Consider the following 27,878-nt stretch of genomic DNA (forward strand, 5'->3'; position numbering starts at 1 on the left):
CAAATGTCTTTGTTAATATCAAGTGCTCTACCAATGAGTGTTTTAATCATCATCATAACAACAGCTAACAACTATTGAGCTCATATAATGGGCCAAATCTTTTTTTCTTTTCTTTTTTTTTTTTTGAGATGGAGTCTCACTCTGTTGCCCAGGCTGGAGTACAGTGGCACGATCTCAGCTCACTGCAACCTCTGCCATCCGGGTTCAAGAGATTCTCCGCCTCAGCCTCCTGAGTAGCTGGGATTACAGATGCTTGTCATTGCGCCCGGCTAATTTTTGTAGTTTTAGTGGAGACGGGGTTTCACCATCTTGGCCAGGCTGGTCTTGAACTCCTTGACATCATGATCTACCCACCTCGGCCTCCCAAAGTGCTGGGATTACAGGCGTGAGCCACTGTGCCCAGCCTTTCATTTTCTTAAATAATTCTCACTATAACTCCAGAAGGTAGGTACTATCATTATCTCCATTTTATAGCTTCAAAGGGTAAAGTAACTTGCCCAAAATTATAATTAGTAAGTAGCAGGGCCAAGATTTGAAACCCCCAAAAAAAGATTTGAACCCAGGTCTGTCTGACTCAGGGACTTTCCTCATCACATGGTTCTCTCTTGCCTTTGCACATGAGGACAGATACGTGTTTGACACCAGTTACGGGGAGTGGTATAGCCAGGACTGAGGAAAGGGAGATCTCATAATTCTATTCAAAGTCCCTTCTAATAGTTCGGTTGTTTCCGTTTACTGAGCTAACTAAAGAATACTTAGTAATCTCATCCAAAGTTATACGTACCTCCTCAGAGGCTGTGGGGTTTCATCAGGGATTAACAGTGCAAGACGCAGTTATATACCTATCATAAATTAGCTTTGTGGCCACATAATGAACAATGCAAGCCAGCGTAGCTTTAAGAGGACCATTTATTATATCGCTATAAACAGAGCTATATAAAAAGAATTATTCCTAAGACCCTGCACATCTGTGCTTACAATCATGCCTTTACATGAGCTTTGCAAACAAGGATAAAAGTCCAATTTAGACTGTGTATTGAACATCAATTCTCTATTCAACAGGGAAAGGTAATTCAAAGTATCCCAAAGGCATGAATGCTACATGGATCTCATTTTTGCCAAAGGTCTCAGCCATCTTTCTTGGTCACAACCAGAACTGTTAATACACAACATAATGAGCTAATCTGATACTCACTTTGTTTAAACAGCGTGGAGTGCCGAGGAAAATGATTTTGAGTAAAAAAGCATAGCTGGAGATGCTATCACTTTTTAGCTTTTTGTCCCTGGGCAGGATCACTTAAAATTTTTCCAAGCCTTAGCTTCTTTATCAGTTCACTTATCTCCATTTTGTTGTTGTTGTTCCCCTCCCCTTTCCCAGAATGCACACTCTACGAAGGCAGGGGCTCTTTGGTCTCCATCCTCTCTGATTAGAAGAGTGCCTGGTATACTGTAGGGGCTCAGTAAGTATTTGCTGTTTAAAGTATTATGTAAATTGGTAAAACATGGATAGCTGACAGCTTTCTTGTAGGGTTTTTGTGCAGATTAAATGAGAGATGAGACGTGACCATAACCCACTATATACCTATACTGTGCTAGGTGACTCACGTATGTTCCCATTTAATCTTCACTTTGAAAGGACCTGTAAATCATAGTGTTTTCAAACAGAAGGGTGCCAACATAATTATCCTTTGTACCTTATATGTACAAACCCTGTGATGAACCAAATGCCACAATCAAGAACACATTCAATCATGTGTTCATGCATTCATTTATCATTATTTATTGAGCAGGTGCTGTGGGTCAGGCCATGCTGAGTCCTGGGGCTGCAGAGGTGAACAAGACATGTTTGCTACCCTCATGGAGCTTAGTGACTAACAGAGCATTTGGCTAGAAGGGCAGGTGGGGGCCAGATCCCAAAGAACCCTAAACACTACACTGAGTTTGGACTTCATTCTGAGAAATGGGTGAAACTGAAGGGTTTGATGGCTGGGACATTTATCCTATAAGGCCCACCCCTACAGAGCTTACCTAGGTACACTTTCCCTATGGCCTTGCCTCCAGGGATGATGTCTTAACATGAGATGAGAGTTCGGTGAAACACATCTGTAATTATAAGCTCCATTGTTAAGGGGTAGTTTTGAATCTCAGGGCCACTACTATGGAAGGAATGATGTAAGGATGTAATTTTTGAATCCTCTCTTTGTCTAAGAGTAGAGGTGTTGAAGGCTAGAGTTCAGAGAAAGAGGAAAAGCACTCAGAGGCACGGGGAATGCATTGCTACGTGATTGGGAACAGTCACGTGATTGGTGACCATGTCACAGTGGAAATCCCCTCCCTCTACCCATGCTTCTTCTCCCCCTGCATTTACCGATAGAACAGTCGTGTCCAGTCCAGCTTGGGTCACAGCTGCAAAGCCCGGTGTCCGGGAGGAAGGTTCCGTGGCCTGAACACTGGTCTAAGCATGTGGCCCTGGGGGTCTCGCAGTTGGTGCCTCCCCATCCCACAGAGCAGTGGCATTCGCCTCTCACGCAGACACCCCGGCCTGAACATGTGGGGTCCATGCAGTCCACTGTGAGATGGAGGAAGGAGAACATAGGTAAGCATCTGACCAGCAAAGGTGAGGCTTCTTTAAGCAAACTACTTAGCTTTGTGGCCAAGGGGCTTCATACATTCTGGCAGAAGGATGCATAGGTCACTTAGTAAGGTGAGAGCAGTACTGCGGCAAATGGCAGACCTGGCTTCCCAACTCCACCCAGGTAGAAATCCCTACCACTTCGTTTGTGGGGCAAAGTAAGAAATGTGTCTCAAGCATCAGCATAGCACTTCATGTCTACTAGATTCTGTTTCATTCACTTCTGAATCTCCACCTCCTAGAACATTGCCTAGCACACAGGAGGTGTTTAATAAGTCTTCATAGAATGAACTTTTATTATCACTTCATAATGCAGGTTTATTTTTGTAGGCATGAGACTAAAATAGATTCCTTCATTTAAATGATAATTTATTTTTAATTAAATTCCATTAGATTTTATCATCTTCCCCAAATTCTTGAGATTGATATGAACTTTCAAACTTCACTTTCCTGGCCAGGTGTGGTGACTCACACCTGTAATCCCAGCACTTTGGGAGGTTGGGGTGGGAGGATTGCTTGAGGCCAGGGGTTTGAGACCAGCCTGGGCAACACAGCGAGATCCTGTCTCTACAAAAAATAAAAAAATGAAAAAAATTAGCTAGGCATGGTGGCACACGCCTGTAGTCCCAGCAACTTGGGAGACTGAGGCAGGAAGATTGCTTGAGTCCAGGAGGTCAAGGCTGCAATGAGCTATAATTGTGCCACTGCACTCCAGCCTGGGCAGTGAGCAAGACTCTGTCTCTAAAAAACAAACAAACAAAACAAAGACAAAAAAATTCACTTTCCTGAGGGCAAACACTTCAATATGTGCTGACTTTGCACAGCTTCTCCTCATGTGGTAGGTGAGTCACATAGTGGTGGCTCACAGCCAGGCAGCCCTTTAGTGCTCCCAGGGCCAAGGGTCAAAGTGGTCTCAGGAGACCAATCCAGAAAGAGGGAAGAGAGAGTAACATTGTGGGTTATCTGCTCTGTGCTTACATGCTAAGCACTTTATATACACTATCAGATTCAGTTTTCTCAGTAACCCAGTGAGATACAGATGAGGAAACCGAGGCTCTGAGAGGTAAATAATTTATGCCAGATCACACAGCTAAACTCTGCCAGAGAGGAATTCTTTTCCTGATTTCTAAAATGGTGGTAAAATACACATACATAAAATTTACCACCTTAGCCACTGTTAAGTGTACAAGTCAGTGGTGTTAAGGACATGGATACTGTTGGGCAACCATCACCACTGTCTCCAGAACTCTTTTTATCTTGCAAAACTGAAACTCTGCACCCATTAAACAATTTCCTATTTCCCCTTTCCCTCAGCCCTCGACAACCACCATTCTATTTTCTATCTCTATGAATTTGACTACTCTAGGTACTTAATGTAAGTGGAATCATCCAGTATTTATCTTTTTGTGATGGCTTATTTCACTTGTCATAATACCTTCAAGGTTCATCCATGTTGTGGCACGGCCAGAATTTCCTTCCTTTTTAAGGCTGAATAATATTCCATTATATGTTCATACCTCATTTTGTTTATCCATTCATACATCAACTGAAATTCAGGTTGCTTCCAACTTTTGGCTATTGTGAATAGGTTGCTATGAACACAGATATACAAATATCTCTTTGGGACTCTGCTTTCAATTCATTTGAGTATATGTCCAGAAAAGAAATTGCTGGATCATATGGTAAATTCTATTTTTGATTTTTTGAGGAACCATCATGCTGTCTTCCATAGTAGTTCTACCATTTTACATTCCCACCAGTAGTGCACAAGGGTTCCAATTACTCCACATCCAGAATCTGAAGACAGCTCTGTCTGATCCTGAGGCCAATATTTCTATCAGGGGCTGACTTTCCCTAATCAAAGCTTTAGTTATGGGGCTACAACAACATTAACAGAGACCTCTAATCTTCTGCAAAGCACTGCATGGAAAAGGAGAAGAGTACTGAGAATTAACTGAAGTGGCTCCAGTTCATATGGAAAGTGCAACAGGTGGCAGAGAGAAGACAGGATTGGTAAAGGAGGTCGATTCATGTTCTTTCTCTACCAAAAAGTTGTTAGGTCTATCTTTCTCTTTAGGGAGGTAGGGATGCTATTCATTTTATAATTGTTAGGGGACGGTGGTATCCTGGGGAGAAGGGGCAACATGTAGCTGTTGGAGAAAGGGTGCTGATGACACTGTGATGAGTATGGTCAGGCCCCTCCTAATAGGAACTCACTAGGGAGCCCTATGCTGCAGAAGAAAAAGCTCTCCATTTGGCCTCAAGGGTCAAGGGACAAAATGTACTGGTTCTAGGTCCATGGTCCAATTACATAACTGCTCTGTGCTTCCCATCTATAAAGCAGGTATGGTAAAGATACTGACTACTGACTTCTCAGGTTGCTATGAGGAGCAAATGACATGATGATTTGAAAGGACCGTATAAACTGTTGCAAAGAGGTTATCTTCCTATCCTATCAGGACATTCAGTAGCATAGCTTGGGGTAAACTATGGTCAGAGCTCATTTTAATTCAGACATCCTTTAAATGTATTCATTAATTATATTTTGTAACCTGGTATATTTGACTTTTACATAAAAGACTGGGAAACCCAGGCTGGGTAGGTAAGAGTCACAGACACAAATGGGCAAAAACTTTACAAATGGCAATATTCTGGGAACATTTATTTTGAGAACTAGCTTATTAAGAAAGTTATTTTGCTATTTAGGGTCTTAAAGGTGTTCAACCTAATAACCTAAATGATAAATAAGACGATCGGGGTTCAGGAGTGATCATTTGGTAATAACACAGTAATGATCACAATAACAATCAACATTAACTTATTCCCTCTTCTCTGCCATATTTTGCTATTAAGCATTTCATGGACATTATCTCATTTAATCCTAACAATGTAAGTATGAGGTAGCTACTTTTATCATGTTCATTTGACAGCTGAGGAAACAGAAAGCACAGAGAAGTTAAATAACTTGCCCAAGATTACACAGTAGTATGGCAAATGGAAGAATTTAAATTTGAATCACCCTTTCCTGGTTAGGCCTCTTACCATTTCCCCTTACAATCTTACTGGTTCAGAAATACATGCATGCATATATACTTACATAAACACAAAAAATGTCTTAAAAATAGAAATCAAAACAAGAAAAGAAATAGAGCAATGTGGAGGATTAATGAAGTCAAATGAAGGCAAAGAATCTCTTCTCCTGCAGTCTCCTGACACCATTCAAAAATGGTTAGAGCATGACCTGTTGGAATGCCTGATAATTAAAAATAATAAATGTAATAATTGTGATAAATTCTCATGACCTGCCTCAGATCTTGGAACCTCAGAAGGATTATTCTGGCCCATTAGGCTTCTGTGACAATCCCCTAGACCCAGAGAGCTTTCCAATTTGACAGGAAACAACTCAGCAATTCCTATCCTGAGGCCAATAAAGGTATTTCCTTTTCTGTAAGTGCCTGAACCTCAACTTTGGGTTGAAACTGTCTCTGAGAATCCCAGGGCACCCTTGAGGTCGAACCTATAAATCCCCATCATTAGCAAGCAGGCTGGGAGGGTGCCAAGTGCAGCAAGAGGCTCTGGGTGGCACAGGCGTGTGCTTCCTTAGACGTAATGAGTCTAAGGAAGGACTTAGGAACCAGCAAAGTGAATCCTACACTCCCAGCAGATGGCCCAGGCAGAGAACAAAGATCAGAAGGAACTGACGAGAGGCTACCTCCAGGCAATTAATCTTTGCTTCTGAAGGTCAACTGGGTCAAGTTATTGTGGAGCAGGAGGGAAGTTTTAAGGAAGACTGCATCTCAGGAGGGAAGGCAGCTCCCAGAAATCTAGGCTGAACTGGCTGAGGTTCCTGCTGGGGCTGGGCAGACACTGTCCTTGTGCTCTACTGATCCTATAGGGCCAGTATCTATGCCACAATGATGCTCTGCCAAAGAGGTGGTAGGTAGACTCTGCCTCTGCCTTTGCATCCTGGAGCCTCTGGGGTGGTGATTAAAGTTGGCTTCTTTCCATCACACTGGGACAGCTTCAGGAACAATGGTGATTTCCCAAGGAGCTGTGTGTAAAGTGGGGAGAAGCGGCCAGCTTGGGGTGGAAGGGAGTGGTGATGAAGGAGTAGGAGCAATGGTCAGGGAGGTGGGCTGGCCTTTGTCTGGAAGACAGCCTAACTTAGTTTCCTCTTAGAGATGTGTCAAATAGTTACCTTTTTTCCCCTTGCAGAGCTTGCCATTCAAGCCAAATTTCTGGCAGAAGCATAGCCCATTAACAAAATGATGAGGCCTGCATGACCAGGCTGCGGACACAGGTCTTTCCCCCAAAAATGCCATGCTTCAGTGACCACACAAGCTATTAGACACTCTGCAGGACCAAAAACACAGGGTCTCACTTTTCACTGTGAAAGGTCTAGGTTTTTTCTTTTCTGCTCCTCCCCCAACTCCTTCCCAGTGTCCTACTGGCTGCGTTCAAGCTTTAAAAAATATGGGGCAATAAACTTCAGAAGAAGGAAGGGGGAGAAAAAAAAGTGAGCTTGTTAGCTGATGTTTTATAAACACAGTGAAACCAGTTAGCATAGAGCAGAGGGAGGAGGGGAGGAGAAGTGTGGAGGACAAAGGCCCCAAGAAAACCCCATTATAAACACAAGGACAACGCAATGACGCTTCACCAGAGAAACAGAAATAATAATGGGAATCAGTACCAGATGGCCCTCCTCAGAAAAGAAAGCTGGAGTAAGAACATTTCTTTTCAAATAGATAACGTAAATCAAAGTTCCAGACATTTTTTTCTCTCTTATAAATAACACTGCAGCTCTGGGGTGCTGTGCGATGCCAGCTCATCTGGGGAAGGACGACTGCCTTTTCCTGGCCCACACAACATGGGTGGGATTGGAGGCAGCTCACAGTTTCAAGAGGAATCTCCTCTTTGTTTCTCTTTCCTTCTCAGGGTCTTCACCTCAAGTGACTCGAATAAAAAGGGACAGCAGATGAAGGTCACCATTCTCTGGATAAAAAGGCCCAGTTCCTTTGTTAAAGGGGTTGGCGTTCCTTCTCTCTCAGACAGCCCAAAGTAATCCCCATCAAAGTTAACAGGTCTGAATCAGGACTTCCAGCCACGCTTGGGGTTTATATACAGCTTGTCTCAGAGAGGCGATGCTTTTCAGACACTAATCTCTTCTTGTTCCCCACTCTTTGAAAATGGGCCTGTTAATGTTCTGTTTTATTTTTAGAGCAAAATGACGCCTGGGAGAGGGCTCTCTGTTAAACAGTAAATGGTTTAGAAGATCAGCTCTCCTTGGAGCCTCTTCCACCCACTGGGGAAGGTGCCAGGGTGCTAGATGGCAGAGAATGGGAGGTAATGACAGGCACACAGCATCATCCGTCAGTTTCAAACGGCAAATTCCAACCATTTAAAAAGACCTTGGATGAAGTGAGTGGGGCGAAACAGGAAATGTGCTTCAATTGTCCCCAGAATAATACTAATAACATAAGAGCTCACATTTATGGAGCGTTTACTATGTGTCAGACACTGAGCTAAGTGCTTTACATGGGTCATTTAATTCAATCCTCACAATGGCCCTCAGAGGAAGCCATTCCCATTTTATAGACAAGGGAACTGAGGCTAGTTAGTGGCAGGGCCAGGATGCAAACCTATATCTGATTCCAGAGTGTGCACTTTTAACAGCTACTTTACATTGCTTGCGAATAAGGCTCTTCCTCTCAGCTGGAAACACCATGCAGTCAAGAAGGAAGAGTCCTGGATTTGAAGTGAGACCTGGGCTGAATCCCAATTCTGCCATTAGTCAGTTCTATGACTGTGGGCAAGTCACTGCCCTTCCCTGGGCCTCAGTTTCTTAATTTGTGAGATAGAAATATTCATTTATTTCACTTGGTTGGATTTCCTAGCAAAGAACAGATGTCAGTGTTAAATCAACAGTTCACTTTTCCAGCCTCAATCTATACAGCCATATATTTATTTTATAAAGGAGAGGCATGCTCATGGGCACTGCAGAGCCATACACATGAACACACACACACACACACACACACACACACACACGAGTGTGATAAAAGAGGGCAGAGTTTGGAGGCCTATAATAGAATCACACTTCAGAAATGGAGATTAAAAATGAGCAGATGAGCCTAGAGGGGAGTGAAAAGAACTTGGGCTATGGAGCCAGAACGACTGGGCTCAAACTCAGCTCTGCTGTCTACTAGCCATGTGTCCTTGGGCAAGTTATTCAACCCTCTGAGTCTCAGATTCCCCAACTATAAAGTAGAGATGATTACTCCTCCCTAATAAGGTTTGAATTACATGACTCGAGGCTTCTAGCACAGCCCCGTATATGGTAAGTGCTCAATACATGACATTTCTCCCCTTCATTGACCAGGACTCCGATGTGTTTGGCCTCTTCCTTTGGATTAGTTACTGTTGCTGGTGGGTGGGCTCCTGGCTTGGGGAGGTGGGGTCACAAAATGGCTCAGGAGGCTTCCCCTGCTCCCTGGTCACCCTCTTGGCACTATATGCCAGCCTCTATCTCAGAGGAAGGTGCCGGAGCTGCCACCTGCAACTCTTACCTTCCTCACAGCTCTCGCCCTTGTAGCCAGGGTTGCAGATGCAGGTGCCCGTGATGCAGGTGCCATGGTTGCTGCAGGCCACATCGATACACTGGTTGGTGGGCACATCGCACTCAGCGCCTTTCCAGCCACTGTGGCACAAGCATCTGCCTTTCATGTATTGGCCATTTCCGCTACAGAGCACGGGGCAGGAGGCTGGGGAGACAGCACCGGAGTCTGGCATGAATCAATGTCCAGCACACCCCAACTGCCTTTGTCTCTTTCTCCTCCTGGCCTGCCTGGCTTCACCAGTAGCCTCAACTGCTCTGCCACAAACACCCATGTGTGCCCATCTGTCTTCTTCTCTTGCTTTATTTCTTTCCAGTTTAAACACACCTAGATTTGTAGGTGATAGTGCACAGTGCAGGGCCTGGCAGGGTAGGTATCCACTTAACCCCATCCCCTTCATGTTGCTGATGGGGTACAGTGGCTGCCAGGAACCTCAGACAGGAAGCTTCAGTCTGTTCCTCCATCTCACTGGAAAAGCCAGTGGCTGAGCCTCCTGCCTGCCCTGAATCCCTCCTCCAGCGCTCTCCTCTAATAACACTCCACTTTCACTTCCCCACACCTCATCTGCAGCGCCACTTACTGTCCTCTTTAACCCAGCAAATCTCAGCTTCCCTTGCCTTTCAGTCCTCCACTCCAGCCCCATATTCTACTGCCCCCTTAAGAAGAGAGCAGAGCCCAACTTGGCTCTTTAAAGTATTATCTTTTCATTCTGCCTCTTAGAGTAAAGGATTTTGTGATCTTCTCTATGAAGGATACTATATAAAAATAAATTATACTGCATTGTGCTGAAAGTACTTACCAGTCTTATCAAGATCCAATAAGGCTTTTTTACACGTGACTCTTAAGTGCATATGGGACGAGACGGTAATTCTTGTTAGAAGGAATGACTCATCTCTCTCTGCACCACCTTCCCCTGGTCCCCACCTGGCTTCTTTCCTTTTTAAAGCACTCAGCAGGTAATCACTGTGTTTCCTTGGGGCTGCTAGCTTTGCTGCCTCAAACTGAGTCTGTCTCACATTAGGAAGAATAAACAGACTCTCATGGCATAGTACTTGCAGGGTGTAGTTCACGCAGCCTGGAAAATCATCTCTGCCTTCTACTTATGAACAATTTCTCAAGCCTCAGGACTCGGGTGTAGTGTCACCCTCATTTGGGAATCCTTTCCTGAAATTCATCCCTTCTACTCTCAGACTGCTCTTCCCTTCTACTCTGATAGAAGCTCCCTGTATTTAACTGTGTTATAGCGTATTTCACTTACTATCGTACTGCTTTGCAGTTGTCTATTTACTTGTCTGTCTCTGAGACCAGACTCAGCGCTCCCAGGATTGGGTCTTGCCTAGCACAGGACCAATCCCTAAAAAGGCATGAAGCAAATGGCTACTGAATAAGGGAAAAAGGTAAAAAAACAAAACAAAAGAAGGGGCCAAGTTAGTTTCCCAGGGGAGTGCCAAATTATCAGGACTGCAGATCTCCTTGACACTTTCCTTGTTAATTATTCCAGGACAGAAATGATGGCCAAAAGCATGGGATAGATCGTGGGCAGGCTTTTAGACTATCTCCACAATGTTTATCATGGGCACTGGCAGTGTCTAAATATCAGGCACCATTAGGGTCCTCTGTGGAAAAAAGTGGCCTGGCCTCCTCAGTCCCTCCCCTTGGGGTCTTGGCTGATTCTGCCTGTGCTGTTAGAAAGTAGCAACAGAGCAGTCGTCAGGCTCCCCATTTACAGGCCAGAGAGACATCACACTAGCATGAAGATAAACTTCAAAGATGCACGGCCAGGGACGATCATTGCTATAAGAGGAAATCAACGTTTTAAAAGAACCCCCACTGCCACTCCACCTGCCCCAGCAACAGACACTGACTTCACTGTGGCCACCCCACAGTGAATTCACCCTCCCTTCCTGACCTCCCCGATCATCCACATGTGGATAACAGCAGCTGACAAGGTTATGGCTCTGCCTGCACACCTCCCTCCAAGGGCTTCTGGAGAATGGCCCTTGGAAACCCTTCTCGTGGGCATCAGAAGGTGGGCTGGATTCTGCACTTGCTCTGAGAAGTAGAAGTGAGCTGCCTGAGGGGTCTGGGAAGCAGAAATCCAGAGCTCCAATGCAGAGTTCTCACCTCTGCCACAGTCGGGGCCCAGGAAACCCAGGAAGCAGTGGCAGGTCCCAGAGATGCAGTCACCATTGCCATAGCAGTTGCTGGGGCAGTTATCCACCGACTCTGGGGAGAGAAAGGAGAAGGAGAGTTGAAAACAAATTTCCTTACCCAAACAGAGAGCCCAGGAATCAAGCTTTAGGTTAGCCAAGACCCACATATTTGAGCTCTTGTGGCCCCGTCACTGAAAGGAATGAATGGAGTTAAAATTCTATGTTATTTTTACTCTTATGGAAGCACAGTTCAATTGACATTAGCAGAAGTGTTCTGGAAAATGTCTGCCTGAACCAAATTTTTATAAATCAAATTTGTATCTACAAACACATTAGAGATTCTTCAGCTAAAAACACTGAGAGAGAACAGTTTAACCTGTTAACAGTGGTTTTCTTTGGGTGGTGTGTTACTGGGTGATTCTTATAGTCTTCTTTATACTTTTTGTATTTTATGCTTTTCTCAGAATGGGCTGATATTCCATACTTTGTTTTGATATAAAGCTACTGAGCATTTACAAATCTGTCTTTTCCCACCTCTGGCTTTTCATATATCCATGTAGGTCCCCACCGTCTCTCACTGGAGCCACTACACCAGCCTGAGGCAGGCCTTTCAGCCTTCCCTCTTGCTCCTCACCTTGATGTGTTCACCACCCATCAGCCTAAGTTATTTCTTTGAAACAAATCTGATCCTATCACTCTCCTTAAAACCCTTCAAGGGCTCCCCATTTGCTAAGATGAAAAAAATCCAAGTCCTTTCCAGAGACAAAGACGTTCTCTTTTCTGGCTGGGCGTGGTGGCTCAGGCCTTAATCCCAGCACTGTGGGAGGCTGAGGCAGGTGGATTACTTGAGGTCAGAAGTTTGAGACCAGCCTGGCCAACATGGTGAATCCCCATCTCTACTAAAAATACAAAAATTAGCCTGGCATGGTGGTGTACACCTGTAATCCCAGCTACTCAGGAGGATGAGGTGGGAGACTCACTAGAACCTGGGAGGCGGAAGGTGCAGTGAGCCGAGATTGCACTATTACACTCTAGACTGGGCAACAGAGTGAGACTGTGTCTCAAAAAAAAAAAAAGTTTTCTTTCCTATTCCTTCTGCACTACTTGCATCCCCAGACACGCTCTCTGTCATGCCCCCCTTTTGCAGAGATGTTCCTTTCTCTAACTCCTCCTAATACGTTTGTTACATGCTCTGTGTGACAGGTCAAGAAAATATAGAATCAATTTCAGAAAGATTTTAATCAAAAGTCAGGCACTGTTTTGTAGCTCCTGTTGGTAAACCTATTATCCAGAATGTGTGTTTATTTGGAACAGCTCATTTCTCAATAATGCTGGATGTGGAATGAGGCACAGAAGCAACTATATGCCAATGCCTTCTTTGTGCCATGTATTTCCACAAATTTATCTCATTTCACGGTCACCAAATCTGACAAGTACATATTGTTATTCCTATTTTACAACAAAACAAAACAAAACAAAACCAACAGGTGGCTGAGAGAAATGAAGTGACCTGTGGAAGGCCACAGATACTAAATCAAAGAGGCAAGACTGCAAGGACTGGAACCCGAGCCTTCGGGCTCCACGCCTGGCCTTGCTGCATGACACTATGCTATCTGGATCTTGAAGGAACTTATTCCACAGCAGAATCTGGGGAAATGAGCAAGGCAGATCTATCGGTATAGGATCCCCCAACTTCCCACTTTTTCTGTGTCCTGATTGAGAAATACAGGCCTTGACCGCTCTGTGACTGACACAGCCATTAGCAACTCTTCTGCAGGCTGGAGTCCACGCTGAAGCCTTGAACATTCTCAGGTACTGAAAAAGGTGTTTAGGTTGTTTCCCCAAACAGTAAAGAAACTAGCCCTGGCCTTGAGCCAAACTCCTTAAATCTCTATATAAACTCCATACCCTGGGCACCTTGCTATGGAGATACCTAGGTAGAAAATCCCTTTCTCTTGCTGTCTGCACGAGAATTGCTACAGCACTCTGTAAGTTCCCCTAATAAATGCTTTGGACAGATCAACCTGGCTTTTAGTGCTTCTTTCTTTGCAATCCCAACCAGCCCTATCTTGGGATAGTTTGGGGCACCCCCTCATGGGAACACTTCCCTGCCTCTATTTTTGTGGCGACTCTAGCTATGGGTTCACTGGATCAAACAGTGGGACAGAGAAGCCCATCCTGAAGGCAGCAAAGGATCTATTTGTAGGATAGAGAATTCTATAACTTTCAGAGCTTGGAGGGATCCTAGAGACATCCAGCCCAATGATCTCATCTGATACAGAAGGAAACTGAGACCCAGAGGAAGGGCAGTGACTTGCCCGAGGTCTCAGAGGGAACCAGTAGAGTCAGATTTGAAAGTAAAGGAAAAGGTTAGTTAAGCAGGCAGTCTATTGTCTTAGCTCACAACTATAAGTCATGAAGCCAAGATCTAGGCCTGTGTTAAATGAATGTTACTACATTAGATACAAGCCTTGCCTATAGGAAATTTGCAGCTTAACTGGGAGAATAAAATAATAAGTCAACTGTTGCATGAGGCATAGAAAAAGCTCTGCCTGGAGGTAAGAAAACCTAGTTTTGGGATCTACTCTTAGTACCATGATCTGTGACCTAAAGCAACTTCCTTCCCCTCTCTGGGCCTCACCTTCCTGATATGTGAAATGAAGGCAATGGTGGAGATGATTCCCTGCAACTGCTTCCTGTTCTAAAATTCTATGAGTCTATAATTAATTAAGAGATCAAGGGTGGAGAAAAGGCATCTAGACAAGGGCATCAAAACTTAAATGCAGCATAGCACTTAAGGGTAGTACTGTGGCAGCTGGAATGGGGCAAAATTAGCAGAGGGAAGGCTTCTCAGAGGACGTGGGCTTGAAAAATGGCTTGGTGATATATAGGTGGAGGTGGCGGCATTTATAGCAGATGCATTTTCAAGAAATGTCCTTCTTCAAGGTCTTAAAGTGTCAACTTAAGAACTATTTTTAAAGTTTGGAAAAATGGTCCAAATGTGTGGCTCCTTTAGTGAGTGGGCAATTCCACTCACTCAGTGTTGTCTCTGCTAACACAAGCAGTGCTTTATATTAACACAGAGTTAAGAACAAGAAGGTCTAATCCAACACGTGGCCTCGTTTCAGGGCAAAATGGTCTGGGTCCCAGCAGAGCAAGGCTTAGGCTGGGGACCTGAAGATCTCTATTCTCCATTGGCTTTACTTGGAAGAATCCATGTTCCCAAGACCTTTAAGTCAGTAGTGGATTCCTAAACACTGTTTTCAGAAAGAACCACTTAGGAAGTTTCACTTTGAATATTCTTTTAAAAAATTAAAATTTTGAGTAAAGTCTAAGGCAAGATAATTTCCACTTTAAGCTACTGGGCTAATTGTACAATTGGAGAGACAGTCCTGCCTGCAGGGCTGAGGAAGGAGTATAGAACAGAAAGGCAGACGGCCTGGCTTCCAGGTGTTGTCCTGCTACTGAGTGGTTGTGAACCCTTGGCCATGTCACATGATCTTTCGGTACCTGTCTTCTCATTATTGCACTTGCTCCTACCGTACGTTCCTGCTTGGCAACTTCTATTCCTTCTTTCAAATCCAGTTCAAATGCCACCTCCTTGGAAAGGCCTGGACATCTTACACAGGCTAAGTTACTTCCAGAACTCTTTTTCCCTCCCTCTTATTAAAATACCATATAGGTTTCATTGTTGACTGTGAACTCCTTGAGGATAGAAATTGAGTTTACTCATTTATGTATTTGCCCTGGTATTCAATCCAGAGGAGGGTCTCAATAAATATTTGTTTCTACTCCTGAAAGAATTCCACTAGATGAGCTCAGAAATCCCTCCCAGATCTAAATTTCTATGGTTCAATCCTTCTCAAACCCAATGGTATAAAGTATAGCTCCTAATAAAATTACTATAAATACAAGTTGCATTTTTAACAGGATCAACTGCAGATAAGTGTTATATACTTTGTTAGATTCTGATTTCCGGAGTCTGCAAGATACAACCTGTTTATCATCTGCCGAAAAGCCTTCATAGTGAGAAAGGGACGAAAGCATATTTTCTGTGACTGAGTGTAGTGTTGGTTGCTAAACCTGACAGCATAGAAGCCTGTTTGCTACAAAACTTGCCCCAGGCTACTGGTGTTAGAGAAGGCAGAAGTTTTGGGAGACACGAAATAATTTTAAGATAGCAACAAGGAAATGGAAAGGAGAAATATAGAGAATATTTTCTTTTGATAAAATGCTTATGTATATATTTTTCTTCCACTTGGAGGGATTTCAACAACTTGAGGTTCAGTTAGGATCCCACAAATAATGAGTCTCCACTGACCAGGTATCTCTGTGCTACATTCTAGGGCAGAAATGATATTCTTTGGCTTGGGAAAAGTGTGAACTTTAATGCGTAAGTACTGTGGATGTTCCCAATTAGTGTTTGGTGAATTTCTTCCCCCACAGTCTCTCCTGCTTTGCTCATGTTCACACTGCAGCTGCCTTCATTTAGCAGAAGGTGTGCCTTTAGATCTGCTTGGATCCAAATTAAAAATTCAGCAGCCTATGAATAATTGGTTTTCATAATTGGGTATATGGCATGTTGGAAAATGGGGCCTTTCCCCCAGCTTGTTTTTCTATCACAGCAGTGGGTCCTGGTAAAAAAAAAAAAAAAATACATGATTTTCAGGAACTTGTTTTTCCTTTCATCTGTATTGGAATGCAGAGTTTAAGTGTTTCCTTAGCTCATTCTCTGGACATGTGTTGTGAGTGGGAGTGTTCTCTGGATATTGAACAAAATGTTGCTTGAAATACAAAGGGGCAACTGCAGAAGGAAGAAAAGACAACAGTGCTTCTTCCCAGTGGAGACATGAGAGTCAGGAACCCACAGAGGCCTCAGGGAACCCACTGCGGTGCCCGTTTTGACTGTTCACTACTCCTGATTTGTTTTCAGAAACAAATCATTAGCGCAGCTATGTCAAGGTGAAAGATGATCACAGCTGATAACTAAGTTCTCCTGAGTCCAGGGTTGATGTTGAGGAAAGTCTGCCCTCATTTGCATCCTTCTGGTTTTCCTTTCTAAAATCCTGAAGCCTCATTTTGTAGGAAACAAGGAGAGACCACAGAAGAAAATCCTATTAGGAGGACTACCTGGACAGCCCAATTGCCTCCTTAACTGTCTCACAGGGGCAGTAATATCAGTAAAGGGAAGGCAGCTTTTCTCCTCTGTCAGCTCACCATGGCATGGGCATACCTGCCTCTTGCCTTGCTCTGAGTGGGCAAACCTCTGTGGACGTGCGAGCTTGATGCCGGACTCCAGCATCAAAGACAGAAGGAACCAGCTTTGTGAATGAGGTCAAGGCCCACTCGACACTCTCATTCTCTCCTTTCTGCTCACCCCACACTTTATCCCTCCCTCCCAGAAGCTCCTGTATGTCTTGTTCCCTTGTGATATGTCCAGGCTAATAGAAGCCTGCATTTACTACTAATATCTCCTTCTGTTTTTGTTGTCTCCTTAAATTATAAAAGTGGTTGTCAGGAACTCTTTGGGAACACCTGGTTGAAGTACCAAGGTATACCCATTGCCAGAGATCTACCTTCTGACTCCTCCTGGCTTCCCCAGAGGAGGATGGATGATAATGCTACAGGCAAGAAGGAGCTTGAACTCCAGGATGGCCACCTGGATATATCACTTTGACTGCAGCTGGTGACATTTATACTTCAGGTTACACCTATTTCATCCCCTTTGCTCCTGAAATAGAAGGGCTGGATTTATTATTAGCAACCAAAAAGAAGAAATGGAAACTAGATAGCATAGCTGGGATTTAATTCTACAGCAACTCAAGGTTGAAGGAAGAGTCCAACAGAGACCCTCTCATTCCCTGAAATGGAACTGCGAAAAGCAAATCATATATTCTAACTTAATCTTCATAAGAATTATGAGACATAGGTACTTATGTCACCATTTTACAGTCTTAGATAGAGAATGGGAGATGAAGTCACCTTCTCAAGGTCACACAGCTGATAGGGGAAAATCTGGTAGGTGAACCTGTCCTATATGCAGCCAAAGTTTGCAGCATTTGGCCTGGACCAGAGTATGGGCTCTGGAACCCTTACTAGCTAGATGCCTTTGGACAAGCCATCTCTATACATTACTTTCCTCATTTGTGAAATGGGGTGAACAGTAACACACACCTCAGAGAGTTATTTTGAAGACCAAATAGGGTGATGCTGTGCATGTAAAGAGGTTGGCCCAGGACCTGGCAGAGCTGGTATTTTGGTTTTAAGGAAGGGTCACACATGTCTTCCATTTATGAATTAAAAAACAATCTGACTTGGTCAAATGAATCCAAACAAGGAAATGTGGGTTTCTGGGGGGTAAACCCACAGACACATAGGCACACAAGACACATGGAAACTCCCCATGGTAAAAACTGGAAAACAAACAAGCAATGCTTCTGAATGTGAAGAAGGCAGGGTGTTTGAGTAAATTTTCTCCTGGGGGAAAGCGCTGTGAAAGCAAATTAAACTTGTCTCCCAGAAGCACAAACACAAGCAGGCTCCTGCCAACATCTGAAAGAAGTTTTCTCCCATTGCACTCTAGATTGGCACTGGGCAGGTGCCAGGTGCTGGAAAGCTGTTCCATGGCCTGTGATGTGTCGGTCCCTATGGATGTCCCAGCTTTCTTTGCAGACGATGGAATTCAAAGGCCTTCAGTCTACAACAGTCTAGGTCAATGCAATGACAAAAATTTGACAAAGCCCCTGACAGACTGGGCTTGAAGCCAGTTCTGTGCCAACATTTGAATTGGAAGATCTGTTTTCAGTCATATCCAGAAGTCCACCAACCACTATTAAGACCAGCTCTAAGGAAAGGTCTAGGAGAAAGATTGTTTCCTTATTATATTCAGTCTTGGCTATTTGTTAATTATTTCTTTGGGGACAAACCAAATTTTACCAATAAGACTGTGAACTCCTTCAACACAGCCATTATGTCTGGTTCTCCAAAGAGTCTTGTGATTGCTAAACACAAACCAAGAACTCAATAATATTTATTGTATTGATAAACAAAGCAGGAATACAAGGGGAAAATAGAGGAAAGAGGTCAGAGAAGTGGGGATGCCACAATAATCAGGTTCCAGAGGCGTTTGGTGGCCAAGAAACATACTGTTTCCTTTGCCTCTATTTTTTTATTACAATGCCTAGAATAAACAGTGATACGAAGCTGAATTCCACATTGTACTCTCAGACCATATTTGGAGTTCAGCAGTTCACATCTGGGAGCCACGTTTAAGACACTGATGAGTTAAGCTAGAACGTGTTCACTGAAGAACAACCAGAAAGATTAAAGAACTTGAAACCACATTTCAAATAAAGAATTCTTGAAGGAATTGAAAATTCAGCTTACTAAGGGGGTTATGACATCTGTTTAAAAATATCTGAAACGTAATCAGGTGAAATAAGGACTTTGTTTTGTGGCCCTAATAGGTTGACCAGGGTCCAGTGAATAAGGACTATAGTCCTTGGGAAACAGACTTGGTTCAAAAGAAGAATCAACTTACTCACTTTCTAAGAGTCAGAGCTGAATACTACTTACTACATTGGGTTACGTTCTGTTTACATGTATGTATCTGCCCAAATATTGTAAACTTCTTGAAGGCAGGAAATGTGTTATTCATCTCTGGATCTCTGGCAAATAATATCTGACTCAAAGCAGGTAATGAATGTTTGTTAGCTGAATGACTAAAACGAATGACCTAGGTGATCTACAAAGTCATATATTTTCAGTCGCTGGATGTATTCAAGGAGAGAGCAAATTAATGACTAGTGGGGATACTGCAGGGGGTATTAAAGATGAAGCGTATGACATCTTCCAAGCCTGAAATCTTATGACTCTGTGAGTCATGGTGTAAAGGAACTTGCTTGGACTGTCTCAAGAAACTTGGGTTCTAGTCCTACTCCTGCCATCCACTTGTTAAGTGACACTGATCAAATTCTTTCCTCCTCAGGGCCTTTCTTTTCATCTACAAAATTTATAAAATTTATTCAGTAAATATTTACTAAGAATCCACTCTAGCTCAGGAAGTGTTCCAGTGAAGTGGATGGCTTTAGTGATTGGTCAGGTCTAACCTCCTGTGATCTGATGAATCAACCTGAATTGTCAGGACTTAGAAAATGATACATATAGATGAAAAAGCTGAGAAAAGAATCGTCATGTTCCATGAGAACACATGGATACAGGAACGTGAACAACACACACTGGGGCCTGTTGTGGGGTGGGTAGAGGGAGAGTATCAGGATAAATAGTTAAGGCATGTGGGGCTTAATATCTAGATGACAGGTTGATAGGCGCAGCAAACCACCATGGCACACGTTTACCTATGTAACAAACCTGCACGTCATGCACATGTACCCTGGAACTTAAGATAAAATTTTTTTTTTAAAAAAAGAAAAACAATAGACAAGAAATAGGAACTAAGGGCTGATTTACATTTTATTACTTCAACCAATACAAACTGTAAGTTAAAATTAAGAAGAAGTCATCATGTTCGTGGCCGGGCAGAGGGCAGAGGGGGAGACGTTTGCTCATTTCAGGAGCTACCTTAACTTTTTAACCCTCCCTGCGGTTCCTGAGATAACAGTATCGCATTATCATCCATCCCTTGATGGGAGCCTCAAGCGGCCCCGAGGTTAGCCTCCTTCCTGGCTGTTGGCAGCAGCGCTCTCGGATGCCAGTGCCACACTCTGGGCTCTTGTTCTGCTGCGTCTCCCAGCGGTGCCCCGTGAGCACGTGCCAGAGAGATCACTGAGACACACACCAAGTACTGGGGAGACAGCCAAGTGCCGCGCTCTTCAAGAGCACTAGGCCCTTCTGAGGAGAGGCGAGCGCTCCCGGGAAATGCCTCGTCTTCCCTCCACCCTTAACCCACAGCAGCTCCAGTGCAATGCCCCGGCCTCAGCGCCTGCCCAGCGGTGGCCCAGGTGCAAGAGACAACACCTCGCCCCGTTCCCACTGCCCACAGCTGATTGGACCCGGCTGAGCACCTGACCCAAGCCAAGCTCAGGCACAGGCTGAACGGTGCTCTGTGACACAGCCCACTGGGCAGAGGTTCCGGGCCAATAAGAGCCCGTTCTCTAGTATTTGAACTAAAATGTACCCAGGGAACTTAGCATTCAGGAGCAGGAGCCAAGGGGTGTGATAGGAAGAGACGGGCTGGTGAGGTCCTTAAGGTCAAGGTGGAACCAAAGTGAAGAGGAAGCAGTCCTGAGTGAGGAGAGAAAGCTCATGAATGGAGCTGAAGCCTGGAAAGAGGCGGGAACACTGCAGCAAGACCAGCAGTGAAGCCCATGAAGGAAGAGAATGAATGAATGAAAGGCCCCTGAGCTGCCCGGATTCCTAGAAGCTTCTCGGTGCCTATTTTCGTCCCCAGCAATAGGAATGTTTTAGAAACGACTTCATTGCCACATCAGCTTTTCCTTGAGATTGCTTGTGTTTTGCCCCTTGCAACGGAAAAAACTAATTTACCTTGGCACGTCACCAGGATCTACTTCATAGCTTGGAGGCTTTGATAATAGCTGATAAGTGCAGAACTTTTTGTTTTTCAAGTATTTCCACATACAGTTTTATTTCATTCCTACAACAGTTCCGTATGTAGGAAGGGAAAGTGTTCTTTCCCATTTCGTAGATGAGAACATGAAGGCACAGATACTTGCCTAAGTTGATGCCGCTAATAAGTGACAGGGCCAGTATCAAAATCTGGATTTCTACTCCTACCTAACCTAGGGATTCTTCTACCATACCACAACTGCCAATCCGGTTAAAAAAATAAAAGCATGCTGTATTAGTCTGTCCTCATGTTGCTATAAAGAAATACTGGAGACTGGGTAATTTATAAGAAAAGAGGCTTAAACGGCTCATGGTTCTGCAGGCTGTACAGGAAGCATAACACCGGCATCTGCTTCTGGGGAGACCACTGGAAGCTTAGAGGCATGGTGGAAGGTGAAGTGGGAGCCTGCATATCACATGGAGCAAGAGCACAAAAGCGAGTGGGGGTAGGTGCTACACCCTTTAAAATGACCAGATCTCGGGAGAACTCACTATCATGAGGACAGTACCGAGGGGGATAGTACACACTCCCTTTTCAGAAATCTCCTCCCATGATCTAATCACCCCCTACATTGGGGATTGCATTTCTTTCTTTCTTTTTTTTTTTTTTTGGAGGTGGAGTCTTGCTCTGTTGCCCAGGCTGGAGTGCAGTGGCACGATCTCGGCTCACTGCAACCTCCGCCTCCCGGTTTCAAGCAATTCTCCTGCCTCAGCCTCCCAAGTAGCTGGGACTACAGGCGCACACCACCACGTCCGACTAATTTTTTGTATTTTTAGTAGAGATGGGGTTTCACCAATGTTGCCCAGGCTAGTCTCGAACTCCTGAGCTCAGGCAATCCACCCACCTTGGCCTCCCAAAGTGTTAGGATTACAGGCGTGGGCCACCAGGGGATTACATTTCAATATGAAATTTGGATGGGGACACACATCTAAACTATATCACATGCTGATCCCATTCCTTTTGCCTGTAGATTAGTCAATTATAGAGTCAGGACTACTGCAGAGGATGCTGCCAGGGCCAGTACATTCCAACTGGTATCTATTTTGGCTTTGTTAACTGAAACTCTGGTTTTCAAACATGCCTACCAGTATTCAAAAATCAAAATGCTGCTCCAGCCACTCGCAAATGTATCACACTTGGACAAAAATATTGATTTGTTGATCAAGTCTCTATTGACTCCACTGTGTTAAAGCTGTCAGGAGGGAGGATCCAAAGCATAGTCCTTATTCTCGAGGAGCACTGGGAAGGCTTTAGCCTTTAGAGTCACTACACCGGTCTAGGTCTGAATTCCAACCGTGTGACTTCTGAGGGTGTGATTTGGAGAAGTCACTGTATCTGAGTCTCAGTTTACTTATTAGTGAAATGAGAAAACTATTTGCCTTACACAGTTGTGAAAAATAAAACCACCATATATATGCACCTGGTACATAAAAGATACTCAGGAAATATTAGTTTACTCCTGTATAAGCTCTGTGATTTTCAAACTTTATCCTTGTCAGCCATCTGAAAGCTTGTTAAAACATGGATTGCTGGGCCCTACCCACCAGAGTTTCCAATTTAATAGGTCTGGGGTAGGGTCTCTGGTGATGATAATATCCTTGGGCTGGGGCTTTGAGAACCGCTCGTCTGGAAGAAAGACAGACTTTACACACAAGTCTGTAAAAAACAAGCCAGAGGGGGCAGAAAGATCTAAACTACCCAAGAATGCAAAAGAGCTTGTGGACCAGTTCCAAAGAGGAGGGCTTGGTCCTCCAGGAGGTAGTATTTGAATAGCTCTTAAAGAATATACAGGCTTTTGAAATGCAAAGCAGTTCTGGGCAAGATGGAGGTCAAGTAAGAGTAAGAGCCAGATCCAGAATAATCATTTTTGCTGCTCCCACACAGTGACCGGCTGATCATAATGCCAACTTCATGTCAAGTCTGTCTCTGGGACAAATTACTTAAGAAATCAGTGTAAAACACTCAACTCAGCTGCTGGCTAGAGAGTTCCATCTAATGAGCATCACTTTGTGTTGAATTCTTCTGTGATGACAGACAATGCAGGAAAAGAAACAGGTTCTGAGGAAGTGGGGTGTGGGGAGCTGCTAATTAGTCTCCAATCATTTATCCAGGCTTGTCACCAAGCTCTCTACTACTTACAAACCAAATAGAAAACCAAATCCCCCTCCTTTTTTTTTTTTTTTTTTTTTTTTTTTTGAGACGGAGTTTTGCTCTTGTTGCCCAGGCTGGAGTGCAGTGACACAATGTTGGCTCACTGCAACCTCTGCCTCCAGGGTTCAAGAGAGTCTCCTGCCTCAGCCTCCCAAGTAGCTGGGATTACAGGCATGTGCCACCACGCCTGGCTAATTTTTTGTATTTAATAGAGACGGTGTTTCACCATGTTGGTCAGGCTGGTCTTGAACTCCTGACCTTAGGTGATCCACCCTCCTTGGCCTCCCAAAGTGTTGGGATTACAGGTGTGAGCCACCATGCTCGGCCGGTCTCCTCCCTTTTAAGTCAGCATAGTCAGATATGAAAATGCACAAAACTATATAAAGATAACCTAGAGACTTACAGGTAAAAACCTCTATGTTGGCTTGGACTGTACCTGGAAAATGGAAATATCCAGGCCATGTTACTCATGGCCTGGACTGCTGCATCAGCATTCTAAGTGGACTTCTGTCTCCAGGCCTGCCCCTTTGTGATGTCTACTCCAGATGATAAGGGGCAGTAGCCTTCCATAGGGTTACTGTCCCTTATCATCTGGAGTAGATATTACAAACAGGAGCCCTATGGACACTTCTGTTTATGTAGTGTTTTCAAAAATTTGAATTAGTTGCCAGAACTTTTTAAAAATGAGGTCAAAGAAAAATCTTCATGTTGGCTTTCATATATCTATTTCGATACTTAGAACTTGTTAAATACAAAAAAAAAGTTTTTAAATTGGAAGATCCAACATGGGAATAATCTCTTCTCATTTAGGGCAGGCCCAGACCCTATGATCAGCCACAGGCCATCTCTGTAGCTTCCTGCACTAATGTCACCTGCCTGGTTTCTAGGCATCCGAGTATACCACCCAGGCCTGGAGCAGTGTTTTCTAAAAGTCACTTATTTGGGTACTGCTTTTATGCTGTTGCCATATTCACATACCATCTGTCCTATTACTCACTTAGCATTTTTCAATTCATTTATTTTCTTAACTTTATTTAACATAGAAATTCAATATCACTATGAAATAATGATTTGCTATATCTAACTATATTTTTCCAGTTTACTAAAATAAATACATAATTTTTGAAATAGAGTCTGTCTATGTATAATCTAAAATAATCTTGGGAACTATACTTTAGAAAACACTGGAGAGGAGAAAGCCCAAATTTCTGAACCAGGAGTTTAAGGATCCAATTGCCCTTTTCAAGTAAGGTCTTTCTCATGCCCTCTTTGTGCTGCTGCCAAATTACTCCCCACCTGAACCCACACTCCCTTTTCAGCCTCCCTGACTGAGCCCACTGCTCATAACTTTACCTGAAAATCCTCTTTTCCCACTTATCCGCTTGTCCAAGTCCTATCCATCCTTCAAAGCCTATTTATTTATTTATTTATTTATTTATTTATTTATTTGATGGAGTTTTGCTCTTGTTGGCCAGGCTGGAATGCAATCGTGCAATCTTGGCTCACTGAAACCTCCGCCTCCCGGGTTCAAGCAATTCTCCTGCCTCAGCCTTCTGAGCAGCTGGGAATGCAGGCATGCACCACCATGCCTGGTTAATTTTGTATTTTTAGTAGAGATGGGGTTTTTCCATGTTGGTCAGGCTGGTCTCGAACTCCCAACCTCAGGTGATCTGCCTGCCTCAGCCTCCCAAAGTGCTGGGATTACAGGCGTGAGCCACTGCGCCCGGCCAAAGCCCAGTTTAAATATTACCTCTTTCGTGAAGGTCCCCCTGGCTCTTCCTAGCAAGATAGAGCTCTCATTTGAATCCTGATGGCAGTTTACTTCTGTCTTTCACTTATTACCTACTGCTGTCTACTTTGCAATCTAGTTATGTATAAGTATGGCTGTTTTCCCCTAGTAGACTGCAAATTCATTGAGAGGAAGGATCCATTTCCAATTCTCCCTCTTATCTGTGCTGCCACAGTGACTAGCACAGTGTTCTGTCTGGAGTAGCTGGGCAGTCAACACTTTTTAAATATCAAATGACAAAGTGCAATTTCTGGTTGGTTTTATGTCCTTTGGTGTGTTCAGCCTCAAATCTTAAGGCTGGGCTCTCTCTGTGGAGAATGCACTGCTTACTTCCTTGCTGATTTCTGTTTTTTCAAATTCCCTTTTTATAAATTGTTTCCAGACCTGCAGCTTCACTGTGATCTGTCTTCCTCTGGGCCTTTTACGTTTAGCTAGACATGGTACTGGCCTCTCTTCTCCCAAAACAGCACTAACCATGTATTTGGGGGGCATGTAGTAATATCACTTTGCAGGACCCCAATTCTTTTCTCTAGCAAGAGCTGCCAAGATGGCATCTGTGAATTATGTACTTAAATTATTTCTATCAGGATATAACACAGTAAGTTGAATAGCAAGATGGATAAATTCTCAGGCTGCGGTGGATTTTTCTTCACAATAATTATAATGCGTGTTGGTCAGCAGCACGATGATTTGAACAGTATTTCTTTCTTATTTATCTACTAGGTAACACTCAACATAATAACTTGGGTCTATATCTTTGAGCCAGAGGCCAAGTTGGACTTCTTCTTGACACCAAATCCTATTAGAGATCATGGTAATGTAATTATATGTTCAAGTCAAATATTTTATAGCTGCTCTAGCCACCTAGGCAGATACTTCCTCAGCCTCTAGGCAGAAACTGCCCAGTGGCAAAAGCGGTAGCTACATATCTTGCAAGAAATTGAGAAATAGTTTCTGTTGTGAAAACTTTATAGAACCTTCTGGCCATTTCTGACTTTGGCAGCAGCAGGACTTTAAGCCACCACTGGATGAAGTTATAATACAAATGTTAGCTCCAGCCTGGGCCTGGCCTAAAGGGCCAGTTCCTCCCCAGTTCCCTGACCAATGTGACCAATGAGAGGGTGGCCTGTGGGGCCATCTGCTCTCCACCCAGTGGGAGGTTTGGAAGTGGTTTGGTGCTCCTACACTCAGCTATCTGTATGCCTAGATGAAGACAGCCTGAGGGGCCCCTCAAGCACTAGACTGCAGCCCCTCTGTCTGGCCAGCCTTCCTCCTGGGTCCCTGGTTCTTTCTACTTGTCCACTGGGCTGGTGTGTGAGTGTGACCCACGTGTGGCCAGCAGGGCCCTATCTCCCCATGTGAAGTCTCTGACTGCCCCTCAGTTCAGGGGTGGATCTTGTCTCTGGCATGTTTTGACTTGACAAGGCTGAACTCCCTGGTCCATGGCAGAGCATGGACTATGCCATCAGACAGACGTGGGTATGATTTCCAGCTCTGACTCTCACTAGTTGTGTAACCTTGGGCAAACCATTTAGTGTCTCTGAGCTCTGGTTTCCTCACTTATCTGTTTCATGTTGGGGTTGGAGGGCTCAATGAGATAATGCATGGGAGGCATTTAACGGGGCCTGCAGTAAATGTCTCATTAATAGTAGGTAAAATGAAACCTAGTCAGAACAAACCAAACAAAGCAAAACCATTGGGACAGGCCAAGTCGGAGGCTGCATGGTATAATGGAGAATGCACCAGCTTGCAGGCTTCAGAATGAGACTCTGGGGGTTCTAATTCTACTTTGCTATCTCCTTTGTGACTTTGAACAAGTTACTTCATCTCTCTGTGTCTCAGTTTCCTTGTCTGGAAAATGGGAGTGATAAGAAAGCCCCTGTCCACAGCAGGGATTATAGTATTAGCAAGGGAAAGACTGGAAATAGGGGCCTGCAGACCCTTCTGTGTGGGTTAGTTTCTAGTGGCTGTCCCCTAGCTGGCCTTAGCTCACTTCTTCTCCTTCACCAGGGGCTCCTAGCATACTGTGCATGCAGGTGCGTGTACTTTGTGACAACAGGATAAGAGGGAGCCTGGATCTTGTCCTGGAACAACAGCAATTAATGCTCCAACACCATCTCCACACAGTACTGGCTTATATCATTCAGACACAGTGAGTCCGTGTGAGATGATGTTTCTTCCGCCTACACCACAACACACAGGGATGCACCCACATGGACGTATTGGGGCTGCTGAATCCTCTCTTCCTTTTGGCTCATACCTCCAAGGTATGGACAAACATTTTACAGACATTACTCCCTCTTTCTGTGAAAGATGAGTTTTAAAGATCTAGCCTATTCCTAGAACCCCCCGGGGCATTTCCCATAAATTCCCATCATACTGGCCAATGTCTGGCTTCTTTCCTCCACTACTGCTCACCCTGGACACCTCGGTGGTGCCCATGACCAGGGAGGCTGTTCTGATGACTGGGCCTGATCCATCAGTACAGCCAGGGGCTGGGCCCAGCAGCCCAAGGTAGAGGGTGCACAAAGGAGAGGCCTCTGAGACCTGCTCACTGTTGGCTGTTAAACTGAGGGAGAAGTGGGGCTGAGGCTAGACTTGCTGGTCTCAAGGCTTCAAAGGAATGTAACGGAAAGCAGGAAGAACAGATCAGCACCCTCCCAGGGAGCAGACTCCCCCCTGCTGAGCCCTCCATGCCTGGCAGTGCACCAGTGTTTAGCAGGACGCAGGTGCACATCCCCTCCAGAGCAGTTGGCCTGAGGTGGCCGCTGCTCGGGTCATCTGATGGCTTTCCAGGCTACGACTCTCCGAAGGCTTGGGGAGAGCAGCTTTAATTAACGATGGCTGAGTGTAACCTCGCTTTCCTCTCAGACCCTGGGGAAATCCCAACCTTCACACTCAGCCGCCAGGACAGTAAATTAAGAGAGAGACTCCGGGCAGGAATACTTTCAAA

At 44.3% G+C, this 27,878-nt stretch overlaps 1 protein-coding gene across 9 annotated transcripts in view; it reads right to left on the bottom strand.

Annotated features, from left to right (window-relative positions):
• The window catches only part of TENM4 (teneurin transmembrane protein 4), a 788,202-nt gene that overhangs the window by 150,095 nt on the left and 610,229 nt on the right, over positions 1-27,878 (bottom strand). For all 9 annotated transcript variants that reach the window (XM_047426739.1, XM_047426737.1, XM_047426736.1 and 6 more), the window contains 3 exons: positions 11,371-11,472; positions 9,199-9,393; positions 2,369-2,569 (listed from right to left, as the gene is read on the bottom strand). In XM_047426739.1, coding sequence (XP_047282695.1) covers positions 2,369-2,569; positions 9,199-9,393; positions 11,371-11,472 — 498 coding nt within the window. The remainder of the gene's footprint in view (positions 1-2,368; positions 2,570-9,198; positions 9,394-11,370; positions 11,473-27,878) is intronic.

The sequence above is a fragment of the Homo sapiens genome, chromosome 11, assembly GCF_000001405.40.
Source record: "Homo sapiens chromosome 11, GRCh38.p14 Primary Assembly".
Classification (NCBI taxonomy): Eukaryota; Metazoa; Chordata; class Mammalia; order Primates; family Hominidae; genus Homo; species Homo sapiens.